Source organism: Homo sapiens, chromosome 7, assembly GCF_000001405.40.
Source record: "Homo sapiens chromosome 7, GRCh38.p14 Primary Assembly".
NCBI classification, from domain to species: Eukaryota; Metazoa; Chordata; class Mammalia; order Primates; family Hominidae; genus Homo; species Homo sapiens.
In genome coordinates this window covers 41,957,281-41,972,233 of record NC_000007.14, presented here as the reverse complement: position 1 = coordinate 41,972,233, position 14,953 = coordinate 41,957,281, and the positions used below count along the sequence as shown (strand labels likewise).

General features: G+C 45.9%; 1 protein-coding gene across 8 annotated transcripts in view; it reads left to right on the top strand.

The window, feature by feature from the left end:
* GLI3 (GLI family zinc finger 3) overlaps positions 1–11,285 on the top strand; it is a 303,320-nt gene extending 292,035 nt beyond the window's left edge. For all 8 annotated transcript variants that reach the window (XM_047420208.1, XM_047420207.1, XM_047420205.1 and 5 more), the window contains 2 exons: positions 4,311–4,638; positions 5,593–11,285. In XM_047420208.1, the coding sequence (XP_047276164.1) occupies positions 4,311–4,638; positions 5,593–7,904 (2,640 nt within the window). In that variant the 3' untranslated portion in view covers positions 7,905–11,285. The remainder of the gene's footprint in view (positions 1–4,310; positions 4,639–5,592) is intronic.

Sequence of the window (14,953 nt, the reverse complement as noted above, 5' to 3'; positions counted from 1 at the left end):
GTCTCTGATCTGAGGAGGCGATGAGGGCAGTGACCCGTATTGCTTACGTGAAGTCGATCAGCTCAGAAAAAGAGTTTCCAGGTTTCCTAACTGATTTTTAAAATCCCTCCCAGAACCATACCACTGTGCCATGGAAGGAAGAAAGACACGACTGTCTGTCTCTCCAGCGTGTCTGTAATGTCGAAAATCATTCATTGACTCTTCCTGTAAACATGCTTTCTGTCTTCTTTGCCCTGGTGACCCCAAGGTAAATAGGCCATGGCCCATATTCTTTAGGAGTTTACAGTCCAGTGGGATAGATAGACTGAAAAACAAATACCGTGCAGTGTGATGGAGGCTTACACACAAGTCTGTGTAAAGAGGATTCAGGAGAGGGACGGACTGCCGGTCAGTCGGGGCAGAGGAAGCCATGGGACAGGAGTTCAGTGCTCCAGAGGGAAGAGCTGAGGAGGATGAGGAGGCAGAGGAGCACAGGGGTGGGAGGGGAACAGCATAGCAGGGGTGAGTTTTTTTGTTTGTTTTTTTGTTCTTGTTTTTTGAGGAAACCACTCCAGTACCAGTCTAGAAACTGGGTAAACTGGAGACCACTTCTGCAGTTGGGCCTGAACCAGTAAGGCAGAGCATGAGAGAGGGATCTGGAAGATTCAGTAGGCAATCTTTGTGTTTGGAGACTAATAGGACATGTGGGCTCTGCTACTCTTTCAGCTTCTTTCAAACCTCAGTTCGTGACTTCGCTTCATGAATGTGATTTTATAAAACACCTAAAAATTTCAAAGACAACAAGAAAAATTAAGAGTAGATAGTATAGTAGAGGAGATTCAGCCCATCTGGCCATGCGTAGAATGGATTTAATTGTGCAAATATATTGGGTTCTGGGCTGTCACTCTCTAACCTGTGAAGGAAGTGTACCAGAGAGAAGTTTCATGCTCAGACTGCCGGATGCACGGAAACAATCAGGCAAACAGATTTATACTTAAAGCCAGCATTTTCTTAAAATTAGAGCAGTCTATCGGATGGAGAGCCTATGAATTCATGAGTGATGTCACAGTACGTGTGGGTGGGAAATAATGCACAATCTTACCATTGAGACGGTGAGAAGCTATGTTTTAATGACTTACTGAGTTTGTCTTTGAATTCTTAAGAGTCTTAGAGAGTGACATTAAGTCTAGCCAAAAATAACACAAATCAGCTATGCAGATTTATCATGATTTATCAGTGGGTAGCTGTACTTTGCTTTAAAAAAGTATCTTAATAAGATGTTTATACATTATGGTTGATCACTGTATTTTAATCAGTTCATAAACTGTGTTTTATATACTTTTTTTGAAGGGGAGCACATGTCTATTCTTAAAATAAAGCCTACCTGTATAATAATTGTACAGAACATTCAACGGTTTATCCTCACGTGTTTAACAAAACAAAGAAAGTTAATTTGCAGTCTTAGATTATGTCATGAAACCGATGATTTATATTCTTGGGATATTCCAAGAACCCAAAATCTCTTCTACTTTTAGTGTACATTCCTAGCTCAAGAAAATTGTCATTTTCTCTTCAAACACCCATTGTTTAAAAAGAAAATTGGTAGAAATAAAAATTACAGCGATTTGGCTCAGCAACATTGAGATGTCCCAATGTGTGAAATATTTCATAAAGTAATTCAGTCATATTAGGTTGGTGCCAACGTAATTGTGGGTCTTGTCATTACTTTTAATGGCAAAACCCACAGTTACTTTGGCACCAACCTAGAACCATAGGACTAAAAGAAACCATGGAGATCAAGACTATGCCCATATTTTGAGGAAGCTGAGGCTTAGTGAGGTTAATAAATTAATCACATTTCCACAGCAGATATTATGTGTGTATATGCTCACACACATTTAAAAGTAGGTATCTTCACAGACATTTACTAATAAACATGAAATTTACATTTCTAGTTTTCTTTAAAAAACATGTCTTTGATTTGATCATCATGCTATAAATTAAATTCTTTCTTCTTTTTTCTTATTAATGCAACATCTCTTCTGTCTAATGCTCCTAAATGTCTTGTTCTCACTTCCTAAGGACAGTGGGTAATAAGGTGAGGGAATTTTGGCTTCTCTGTCCTTTTTGTTTTGTTTTCATTTTTTTAACATTTACTTTTTTCTGTTAATTTTTCTTTAGTTTTTGTGGTTTTGTGATACTTTTGGTAGTGAACATTACTCAGATATGTTTCAAATATAGAAGCAATGTGTTTTCAACATTCAGCATGTGAAAAATGTGGAGTTAGTTGGTGAAATTCATTGTTCTATCTGTCTAGGTTTCCATAACAAATCACACTGGGGCCTACCAAGCAGATGTTCTGAAAGACTCATTATTGTACTGACTAATGCAAATTCATCCTTAGACCAGATGTGCACCACCTTCTTTGAGGAAGATCTGGCTTTATTTGTTGTTAGCAATGTAATCTCTATTTAAATGTGGACGCTCATTGAAGCAATTTCCTAATTGTGAGTGCATTTGTGCCTTATATGAAGTGTGTCTGCCTGTGTGTTTGCACAAATGCACAAGTTCATGTCTGCACACACTCTGATTTGACAGTCCAGGAGTCAAAGACATCCAAAACTCTGGAAACAAGTACCTCAGGAAGGAGCAGGTGGTCTGGCACTCCAGCACTCTGCTGAGGCCAAAAATTAAGCAAGGCTTCACATACTCACGATCAAATTTGTATAACTTATTTGGCTCTGCTTGGTTGCCCGGGACAAAGTTAGTGTACCATGCAGCACTCACTTAGAAAGTGTTCATTTGCTTGGGTGTATGTACCATGATAGCAGAAGAAGTGAAAGGGTTCCACTGCGAAGAGCCCTTCCTGGTGGCACTGTGCATTCCACCTGAGACTACAGTACTCTGTAACCGAGTGAGTGTAGTTATCTTTCCCTAAAGCACTCTCCCTTTCGGCTGCTGTCCGTGTTTATAGTAACACTGGTGAAGGCGCTGCAGACGCATGGAAGTAGCCGGCCTAGGAGTCCAGGCTAGTTGCACCATTCACTTTGTGACTTTGGGCAGTCACTAAACTTCTCTGAACATCACTTTTCTTATCTGTACAAAAAGGATTCGACTGTTTATCAACCAGGACACCGCTGGAACTTGAGATGGAACAATTCTGTGCTGTGTGACTGTCCTGTGCATTGTAGGCCATTTTATATAGTAATCCCCAGATATTGGGCACCCTGAATTTCCAGGAGCCCTGGGAGCGAGAGGAGGCAGTACTTTCCCTGATTGAGGACTACGGTGGACTAGATTAAGATTCCATTGTTTGCAGCATTGTCTTATAGAGTCTACTCGGTTGGGGTTAGGGAATCATTTCCTAATCCTCCTAGTGAACTATTAGGGAGTACACTAAGGAGAACAGTGAAATCATTCTACAGACTCATGACGGCTGTGATCTGCAGCCTTTCTTTCTTTCTTTCTTTCTTTCTTTCTTTCTTTCTTTCCTTCTTTCTTTCTTTCTTTCTTTCTTTCTTTCTTTCTTTCTTTCTTTCTTCTTTCTTTCTTTCTTTCTTTCTTTCTTCTTTCTTTCTTTCTTTCTTGGTATAGCACAAGCTAAGTGATTGAAGTTTTACCTCTCTCAACTGCTTTTACTGACACCTTGGTTGAGGTTCTACAAAAGCAAGAAAATGTGGAAGGAGGGAGGAGAGGTTACAAAGAGCTTGGCTAACCAGCCCTGAACAGCCTAGAGGGGCTCTTGTTGGAGGAGGTAATGTGTGCTGATGGCGCATATCTTACATTTATGTTTCAGCTGAGCAAAATGAACCTCAAGACTAAAACCACCCGGGATCATAATAATTGCTAACATCCTGTGAACCAATTGCTATTATCCAGGTCTTTTTATACTTGTGTGCTCTCTGGGCTTCACACTTAATTCCTCACAACAATCCCTGAAATAAATGGTCCCTGTTTTATAGATAAGGAAACTGAGGTTTAGAGTGGCTAAGTAATGTGCCCAAAGAATAAAGTGGTGGAGATGGGATTGGAACCGAGGAAGTATGTCTGCAGAGTTGGCGATTGGGGCAGGATTCCATGGCTGATACCATGCCAGTCACACTGCAGCTAGCATTCTCTGCTTTCCATTGCCTCCTGTTGCCCATCAGCCTGGTGGTCCATCCGTCATTCTGGCCAAAAGTGGCCAGCTCCATTCACCAGAACATAGTTTTTCTTCTCATTCAACCAACTGATGATCTTGAAGATCTCGATATGCATGAGCTCTCATTATTGGCTCCCTTTCCTTGACCCTCCCTGGTGACATTTCTTTCCTTTCCACTTGACCCCAACAGACATCTCAGCCAAGCCCTGGTGGTCAGTCTTCATGCAGCAGCCAACAGTCCCCCATCAGCAACTATTCCAACAGTGGGCTCGAGCTTCCTCTGACCGATGGAGGTAGTATAGGAGACCTCAGTGCCATCGATGAAACCCCAATCATGGACTCAACCATTTCCACTGCAACCACAGCCCTTGCTTTGCAAGCCAGGAGAAACCCGGCAGGGACCAAATGGATGGAGCACGTAAAACTAGAAAGGCTAAAACAAGTGAATGGAATGTTTCCGCGACTGAACCCCATTCTACCCCCTAAAGCCCCTGCGGTCTCTCCTCTCATAGGAAATGGTGAGTTCTACATCAGACCATGCATCTGCTCAGGGTTTTTTTTTCTGTTCTTTTAAATGCAGGCCCTCAGTTTTATGTTTGCTAGTTTCTCCACCAGTCCTAAAATGACGCTGTAACCATCCGTTAATGTTTAGCCCATTCAAGTTGCCTTTTGGGATTGTCCATATTTTAAAAACAGCTAGGAACAGGATAATATTGAGAAAAAAATGTGACTGTGCATGACTCATATTCTGATGGTGAAATCATAACTGTTAGATTAGGGTAAGGGAATGCCAGCAGTGGAGGCATCTGTGGTTGGAACTCTGTCTCTGGTTTCCAAAATTTAAAACCACGAGGTTAGCAGCCACTTTTATTTATATTTACCCAGTTCAAGGAAAGTCAGAAATCCCTCCCCACTGTCAGTCCCCAGGTCAGTTTGCACTTCTGAGATTACACTTCTGAGAGCACCTAAGGGGTGAAGCTCTTGCCTGCACCAACACAGGTGTTACCTGTTGGTAGGATGTGGCATGAACAGGACGCCCTGAGCGTGAATGTGAAACTCGTGGAGTACCTTTGCCTGGGGACTTGCCTGGAACTCAAGCGTTGTGTACCATCACAAGATTCTTTTTGTCCTTGCACAGCGCTTGGGGAGGGGCTTCAGTGAATCGAGGGAGTTGTTATTGTTTTGTTTAAGCCAGGCATCAGCAAACTACAGCCTGCGGCCATCTCCAGCCGCCCCTGTTTTTGTAAAGGAAGCTTCATGGACACCCCGCCACGCTTGCTTGCTCACTGCTCTCTGTGGCCGTGTTGGGGCTACACTGCAGAGCTGAGTAGTTGTGAGGCAGGCAATGTGGCCTGGGACACCAGAAATAGTTCCTAGCTGGCCCTTTACAGAAAAGGGTTGCTCATGCCTGGTGTAAGTCATGCTCGAAGGGAATTCATCTCCGCATGGTCTCTCCCTTTCTCTGTCTCCAGGCACACAGTCCAACAACACCTGCAGCTTGGGTGGGCCCATGACGCTTCTCCCGGGCAGAAGCGACCTCTCTGGGGTGGACGTCACTATGCTGAACATGCTCAACAGAAGGGACAGCAGCGCCAGCACCATCAGCTCGGCCTACCTGAGCAGCCGCCGCTCCTCAGGGATCTCGCCCTGCTTCTCCAGCCGCCGCTCCAGCGAGGCGTCACAGGCCGAGGGCCGGCCGCAGAACGTGAGCGTGGCCGACTCCTACGACCCCATCTCCACCGACGCCTCGCGCCGCTCCAGCGAAGCCAGCCAGAGCGACGGCCTGCCCAGCCTGCTCAGCCTCACGCCCGCCCAGCAGTACCGCCTCAAGGCCAAGTACGCGGCTGCCACAGGAGGGCCGCCGCCGACGCCCCTGCCCAACATGGAGAGGATGAGCCTGAAGACGCGCCTGGCGCTGCTCGGGGATGCCCTCGAGCCTGGCGTGGCCCTGCCTCCAGTTCATGCCCCGAGGAGGTGCAGCGACGGGGGAGCCCACGGCTACGGGCGGCGCCACCTGCAGCCGCACGATGCGCCGGGCCACGGCGTGAGGAGGGCCAGCGACCCGGTGCGGACAGGCTCCGAGGGCCTGGCCCTGCCTCGTGTGCCGCGCTTCAGCAGCCTCAGCAGCTGCAACCCCCCGGCGATGGCCACGTCCGCGGAGAAGCGCAGTCTCGTGCTTCAGAATTACACGCGGCCCGAGGGCGGCCAGTCCCGAAACTTCCACTCGTCCCCCTGTCCTCCCAGCATCACCGAGAACGTCACCCTGGAGTCCCTGACCATGGACGCTGATGCCAACCTGAACGATGAGGATTTCCTGCCGGACGACGTGGTGCAGTATTTAAATTCCCAGAACCAAGCAGGGTACGAGCAGCACTTCCCCAGCGCCCTCCCGGACGACAGCAAAGTGCCCCACGGGCCCGGTGACTTTGACGCGCCCGGGCTGCCAGACAGCCACGCTGGCCAGCAGTTCCATGCCCTCGAGCAGCCCTGCCCCGAGGGCAGCAAAACCGACCTGCCCATTCAGTGGAACGAAGTCAGCTCCGGAAGCGCCGACCTGTCCTCCTCCAAGCTCAAGTGTGGGCCGCGGCCCGCTGTGCCGCAGACTCGCGCCTTTGGGTTCTGCAACGGCATGGTCGTCCACCCGCAGAACCCCTTGAGGAGCGGGCCTGCTGGGGGCTATCAGACCCTCGGGGAGAACAGCAACCCCTACGGTGGCCCAGAGCACTTGATGCTCCACAACAGCCCCGGAAGTGGCACCAGTGGAAACGCCTTCCATGAACAGCCCTGTAAGGCCCCGCAGTATGGGAACTGTCTCAACAGGCAGCCAGTGGCCCCTGGTGCACTCGACGGTGCCTGTGGTGCCGGGATTCAAGCCTCAAAGCTGAAGAGCACCCCCATGCAAGGGAGCGGGGGCCAGCTGAATTTCGGCCTGCCGGTAGCGCCAAATGAGTCAGCTGGCAGCATGGTGAATGGCATGCAGAACCAGGACCCAGTGGGACAGGGGTACCTGGCTCACCAGCTCCTCGGCGACAGCATGCAGCACCCGGGGGCAGGCCGCCCCGGTCAGCAGATGCTTGGGCAGATTAGTGCTACCTCACACATCAACATCTACCAAGGGCCAGAGAGCTGCCTGCCAGGGGCTCACGGCATGGGCAGCCAGCCGTCAAGCTTGGCAGTTGTCAGGGGCTACCAGCCATGTGCCAGCTTTGGGGGCAGCAGGCGCCAGGCTATGCCGAGGGACAGCCTTGCTCTGCAGTCAGGACAGCTCAGTGACACAAGTCAGACCTGCAGGGTGAATGGTATCAAGATGGAGATGAAAGGGCAGCCCCATCCGCTGTGCTCTAATCTGCAGAATTACTCTGGTCAGTTCTATGACCAAACCGTGGGCTTCAGTCAGCAAGACACGAAAGCTGGTTCATTCTCTATTTCAGACGCCAGCTGCCTGCTACAGGGGACCAGCGCCAAAAACTCTGAGTTACTTTCCCCAGGTGCTAATCAGGTGACAAGCACAGTGGACAGCCTCGACAGCCATGACCTGGAAGGGGTACAGATTGACTTCGATGCCATCATAGACGATGGGGACCACTCCAGCCTGATGTCGGGGGCCCTGAGCCCAAGTATCATTCAGAACCTTTCCCATAGCTCCTCCCGCCTCACCACGCCTCGGGCGTCCCTCCCATTCCCAGCGCTGTCCATGAGCACCACCAACATGGCTATCGGGGACATGAGTTCTTTGCTGACCTCCCTAGCGGAAGAAAGCAAATTCCTTGCAGTTATGCAATAGGCTTTAGGAAAAAAAGACTGCAACCAACGGAAATCAATAGGAGTTGAAGAGATTAAACTGACTTTGTTTTGGCTGTTTTTTTAGTTCTGTATGTATTTTAGCAATCTCATCTCACCTAACTGAGATGTGTTTCAATTATATTCCTTTTATGGAAAAGGACTCTGAAAAACCCTAAAGTATTCTAGGGAGAAACTGTCTTCCATTTCAGTTTTGAATCAGTATTGTTACACTCAAACCACCCTCTTTTTAAAAAAAAAAAAAAAAACTGTAAGCCCCGCCCCCTTTTTAGTAAACCGATGTAAATTTGTGATGTGCATATTCTTCTTTCTTTTAGAAGAGCAGTCAAATTAAAGGATTTGACATGTTTTGCTGTTGCTCAAAGGAAATAGGAGTTGGTGTGCTTGTGACCAAGGGGTTACACTTCCAGCTTTTAAAATTCTCCTTTACATGTGCTCAGTGTTTTGTTTTGTGTTTTGGTTTCTGTTTTTTATTTTAATTCCCACATTGGGCACAAGAATCAGAATATGGATAGCTAGTTTAAGAAACTTTTGTGGGTGCACTGTAGCATAGATGACAGAATATTGATGTTCCCCCCATCTCCAATTCAGTTCAGGGCATTCCACAGTTAAACAGAAATGGGAACGTGGGGCTCTTATAAATGAAATGGGCGCTCACAGTTTTGGTTTTCAGCTCTTCATGTCTGTAAGTGTGCTTTGGGGGAGGCTATGTCTGTATGGTCGATTCTCAGTTATCACATTTGCCTCTCCTCCCACTACCTTCATGAACATTCAGTGCTGTTTCGCACTGCAGTTAGAGAGAAGGGACGGACAGTTGGTGACACTCAGCCACATTGCTACTTTTATCTGTTCTGGTAAGAAGTTAGATAGATGGTAGATTGAAGCAATTGGGTAGAATTAGTTGGGGGAATATTTATGAGTTGCTGTGTTTGTTGATTAGTTCCATCTCTTTCCCATTTTAACTGAGAATTGATTATATATAGCTCTAAGTATATAGGTATTTAAACAACCCCACAAGCGGCTGTATCAGTAACATTTATTAATTCCACTATAGTGAGGGAGGATTTCCATTCTAAATACCTTATTTTGAGGGATTTATAAAACTTAGTTGTAAAAGAGAAAGCCCACATAGTGGGAATAAATTGCTTCAGCCATTTTTAGTATTTGAGAGCACTAGGGAAGATGTTTAGTAGCTGTGTGGATGCCTTTTTTCACACCCTGTCTATTGAATGCTGCATCCATTCACGAAGTTAAATGTTACATGCAGTTAGTCCTTAATGTGGACTGGATCTGTACTTTTGTTTTGGATTAAAACATTTAAAGATTTTTGAAGTGCAGCTACTCCCCACGTGCATTTGATACACATAAAAGTCATACTGTGTGTGCACAAAGAGTACATGGATTTTCCAGCATATTGCTTTAAAAAATTATATAAACTGTTAAAATATTAACACCTCAGGCTACCTGCTGTATTCTGTCCCATTGACCCCTGGAATTGGATTTACTGCAAGTGATTGATAATTCAATTATGTGGCTTTTCCCCTTTAATCTTGCCATTTAAATTACAGTAGAAAGACAAAATCAAGTAAAATAAAGTGTTAGATAATAGAAAGAGTGTTAAGACCAGCCCACTTTTCTCATGTTTATGTTCTTTCATTTGGACCAAGAATCTCCGCATGGAGGTTGATTTGCCACTGGGGACTTTGGCTAAGACTATTAGGTTTGCTTTCAACTAGATGTTCCTGAGACAAGCAGAGGGACACTGCAATTCCCCTTCCATGCCTGCTGTTCTCCCCCATGTAAGTCTTCTTTGAAATTAACGGATGTGTCTCCTTTGGAACAGCCCCATAACAAAAGAGAACTACTGATCTGAGCATAGGAAAGTAGAGGCTCTACCACTTTTCAGTTGAAAAAGCAAGACTTTCTCTGTGTTTCTGAAACAAGGCATAATGTTGTCACAGAATCAGAGATCCAGTCTCACTTTTCCACAAATCTCCAAATCTCCAGTCTTATCTTGTGTGCTCTAATGGTTTGGTTCAATCCCTTTCCAACTCTTGTTTTCAAAGCATGGGGCCTGAGTGTTCTCCACTCCTCCTAAGAAAGGAGCTTGGGTGGAAGGGACCATGCTGACCTCCTCCATCAGAGGGCTCTTCCAGTAGTATTCTCGGATGCAACCTCCATTTCTCAGTTACCATTATTTCCTGTATCAGCTTTGTCCTTCCTGGAGGGATGCACAGTGATCCGGCCCACCACTGTTGTTGTCTTGTGCTTCTGCTCTTTCCTATGGTTTCAGGTTATTTTCTGGGTTTCCCCTATTCTTCTTTTATTTCTTTTTTTTTTTATATTTGCTTTCCTTTCTACTGCTTTTAGATTTGCAGGAGATGCAAGTTTCAGCTCAATGTTTGGCTTCTCTCAATATGGAAATTTCAGAAGGACAGAGGAGAGGAGGGAGGAAGAAGAAAGTATACTCCTCCAGAATTTCAGTGATCTGTTGTGGCAGTCCAGTGGAAGGAAGGTCTTTTGAGGTCACTTAGAAGCATCTTTTTGGGACATCCTTTTGGGATCTCTGTAGGCTAGGCATCTCATATCTTGAGACTCACCCCCAGCCTCCAAGCCTCTCTCCATTTCTCTAACCTATGCATTTTAGAGCGAGAGGACCGCCTCACTAGTGTCACCATCCTGCCTTTTCTAAAACATGCAGGCTCACACATTCTACTCCTGCTTAATGTCTGTGTTAAACGTTTTCTAACCATTTTTGTTTTATTTTTCTGAAAAAGTTAACCCCTCCCAACTCCTCACACATTGGCTCTTCCTCTTGAGCCACAAAGTTTTGATTCTTGCGATGTATGTGCCTTATTTTATGTTAATCTTGTCAATGAGAGGGACCAGTTGGTGTTGCCCAATCAGCACTCCAAGGCTGTGTGTGCACCAGCCAGAGAGCGCACGGTGGTAGCAGAGTCGAGGCTGTCTTGTATCCTGGTTTCATGTGTTGTTTTGAACTGATAGGAGGATGTTCTCTTCTGACAAGTTACCCTTGTGTATCCTGCAGACATGTAAAATAAAATACAAGTTCATTTTTTTCACCTTTTTTAGATTTTTTTAAAAAATAAAATGTGTAATCCTTTTTTTAAAAGAAACACATGTAAATACATTTAAGTATTGTAGGCATAGCGTTCAGATGTGACTGGCCCAGGCGTTCCTCGGACAAGCCTGCATTCCCCGTGATCACGCCCACCTCAAGCCCAGGGGCTGCAGCCCAGCCACAGATGAACTCTACCTTTGCTTTCAGAACCACTTAGTCCTTTTGTAACAAAGAAAAAAAAATGTTTCTTACAATGTCAATAAAAAATTCTTTGTATGGAAATTTTTATTGGGTTGTTTATTAAATGCATAGTTGAATGGAAAGATTGCTTTCTTTGAAAACATCCAGAGCCTGTAGCTGGATCCAGACCCCTCACGTAGAAGATGAATGGACTTTTGCTGTGAGATCCAGATTCCTTAGCCCTAAACTGGAGAATAAGATGCAAATACATACATGCTCATGGTGTTTTGAGGATGTGTACCCGGGGGGCACACCAGTTGCAACAATTATTGTGTTTCTTTATATTATTGCTTTCTAAATTCAGTGAGGAAGGATGGTGATGGGGTTTAACGTCTAACAACTTAATTTGTCCCTCTTTTGTATGTTATCCTCTCATTTCAGAGATGCCCTACCACATGTCAACAGAAAATCTGACACGATAGAAGCCTACTTTATGTGGCTTTTAGTAACTGACCTCAGCCAGAATAAATTGTCTCCCATGTTTTTCTTGTGTCAGTGTGCAATATTATTCTCCAGATTACCGTAAGCCACTCCAAAAGCCTTCCCTTCCTCTTTCTAAGTAGTAGTACATGTCTTTTGAGCCATCAGCTGAGGATAATTGTTTCTGGGAAGGGCAGGAGTCCTGGCTGTGGGTATCTCAAGGCTACAAGGATGGACACATGCATGTATACACACACAGGTACAACAGCATGTGTTCCCCAGGCCTTATATCCTGTGGGGGGTGTATGTTCCCTGTCCTCCAGCAGGGTTTCTTTGGCCATAGGGATGCTTCATGCTTTCCTGATTCTCGGGGAGAATTTCCCCCCATCCAATCCAAGATGCTTTGCTTTTGTAACTAGATCCCTTATATAAGGTATCCAAATGAATCCAGAAAAAAATAAGGAAAATATGAATTTATGCCCTGCCTCAGGTATAAACTGTCAGCTCACAAAGAGACATGCCATGTACCAAATCAAAATAAAAGAAATGAGAGAAATGAGGCTAAGAGAAAGGAAACTTAGGGAAGGGACACCCCCAGGAACGAGGTGGGTGATGTGCACTCCTTCAATCCACATGAGCTGGGGGTGGATGGGGCTCACAGCTTTGTTTGTAAAAATGCCTCTTGCACAGTAAATACAAAGGAAGCAGAGTTTGAGGTAAAAAGGTGGAGCTACAATCTGTTATTTCATAAAGATTTCCTTTAAGTAATTTTGGGAATGTAAAGACATTATATCTTACCCAAACAAGAATATAATAGAATGCTAAAATGAGAAGCAAAAATTTACCTACTGCCAAAATGTCTTATTTGTCCTTTTTTTTTCCCCCTCCCAGGTTTTCTACTTATTTTCTTGGCAGTCTTCCCTTTTGGTTTGACTTTAGAGTACATTTACTATTCCAAACATAATCTGAACACGTCTTTCCTTTCATATTAGCCTTTACTTTCTAAAATTTCATTTTACTAACATAGACCTTGTTCATGCCTTTTCTACCTAGTTATTCAAGCTCTTGACAATTTTCAAAACAGTAATAGAGTCTAAATTGTTTTTAGGCTTTTTTTTCTTTGCATACATTTTGTGGCCAGCACTCACCCAGCAGAGCCATGGAAATTCCATTCTACAACTTTTCTCACCCGTCCCCAAATCTCAAATGTCACACACTGCTTCCACCTTTCCTCAGCACCCAGTGGTAGGTTATCATGACCCCTGCCTTCAGAGACCTTGCACTGTCTGGGACATAGGGCAGTGATGACATGTTCCATTAATTCAACCTTGCTGCCTGAGTATCTAATATTCCATTCATATTCTCTTATAGGGACTGGAGATGAGGAGATGAATAAAACACAGTTCATATCCATGAGCTCCCAGCCCAGTGGGAGAGGCAGACAGGGAAACAGGATGCAATGGCAACTCATAATGGAAGATGTTCAAGGGGAAGTTCAGCTTGGGGCACTGTCCATCTGAAGTGCCTATCGTGGGGCTTCTTAGACATTCTACTACTGGCATTTGGGGCTGGATAATTCTTTGTTGTAGGGCACTGTCTTAAGTACTATAGAATGTTTAGTGGTGTCCCTGGCCGGTACCCACTAGATACCAGTAGCATTCCCCCACGTGGTGACAGCTAAAAACATCTGCAGACAACACGGGGCAGTGGGGAGACATCGCTGCAGACTGAGAACCCCTGGTTTATGGAATGAAAATACAAGTAGAGATATTCTGCAGGCAGGGGCCCAGAGAGAGATCCCAGTACACGCCCAGACTCAGCAGCCTTTAGTCTGCAGGTGACAGGTGAAGAAAGGGTAAGAGTGTCATTGCCAGGCACAGGGGTAGCAGGAGTAGAGGACTGAGGAAGAAATCTTGAGGATCACTGGCCCCAGGGACCAAGAGACAAGAAGGCCTGCATAAGAAAGGGAGGAGGGGAGGGGAGGGGAAGGGAAGGGAGGGTGGGAGAGGCAGCAGAGAGGGTGTGCTCTAGAAACACGGAGGCCGATTCTAGAAGGCTAATACTATCAAAAACAACATCCAGATCAAGTAAAACATGGACAGGAAAAGACAGGTTTTAAGAGTTAGGAGACCCTGGATGACCGCAGGGAAGTATTTTTCAGTGGCGTGGTTGGGAAGAGAAACTAGAACACAACAGATGAGAATTAAGTGGCACATGAGAAAAGGGGAATGCAGTGGCCTCTTTTAAGCCACATACTGCATTTCACCCCCTCTGAGACGCCTTCCACAGTAAGACACATGGTACTCCATGTTCCCACTAAGAAAGAACACGCACTGTCCATTAAACTATGACATGGTGCTTTTCATCCTCTAACAGGCAAGCTCCAATTTTAGTAGTTACCAAATTGGAAAAAAAAAATGCATACCTTGGAGAGTATGAAAGACATTATTTCCCAAGGAAAGGAAAGAGATAGTGGATCAAGAAGGGGTGGAGAGTAGGAAAGGTTGAACTTTTCTTGTAACTGTTCCTCTTTCTTCCTCTCTCTCTCCTCCTCCATGCAAGAGGCTTGGCTGTGCTACTTGGCCAATAGGAAAGAGGCAGCAGCATGGACAAGGTAGATGTTCTAGTGAACAGAGCCGGCATGGCAACTCCCTTGACCCATGAGATAGATACCTGTCCTGAGTGATGAGGCAAAGGGTAAGGACCAGGGGAAGCTCCGATTGATGTGCTGGAATGGCCATAGGTCAAGCAACCCAGAGAATGCAAAGGTGACTTAGACCTGTGAAGACAAGACCATCTGGCAATGTGTCAGGAAGGCCGCTGAGCCTGACCTGGGCCTCTGAACTGAATGGGGAGTGAAGAAGCGGTTGGAAGGTAGAGCAGGAAGCATGAAGTACCCCGTGAATCAGCCCGAGGATCATGCTTCACTGCCCACTGCTGAGTTCCTCCAGGACCTGGGTTGAATAGACTGGGGGCAAGCCTCAGGGGTGGTGGGGGGAGATTATTTTGATCTTTTCAGGAAAAATAATTCTGTAAAACACCCTTTGGCAATGACAGGAGTGGCATGCAAGGAGGGTGCTGGAGAAGGACTGGAGGTGGTTGGGGTGCCCTCGGACTCTCATGGGGCCCACAGCTGCCCTGCTGCTGGGTTCCTCAAGCGGCCAGACCCCCCTCCCATTCTGCAAGTTCCTCCTCCCTCCCTGCAGGAAGAAAGCAGGAGAGTGGGCAAGGGAGGGGCTGCAGAGGTCAGGAATGATGCACTCTTCCCTCAGCTTCCTCCCAGCCCCCAG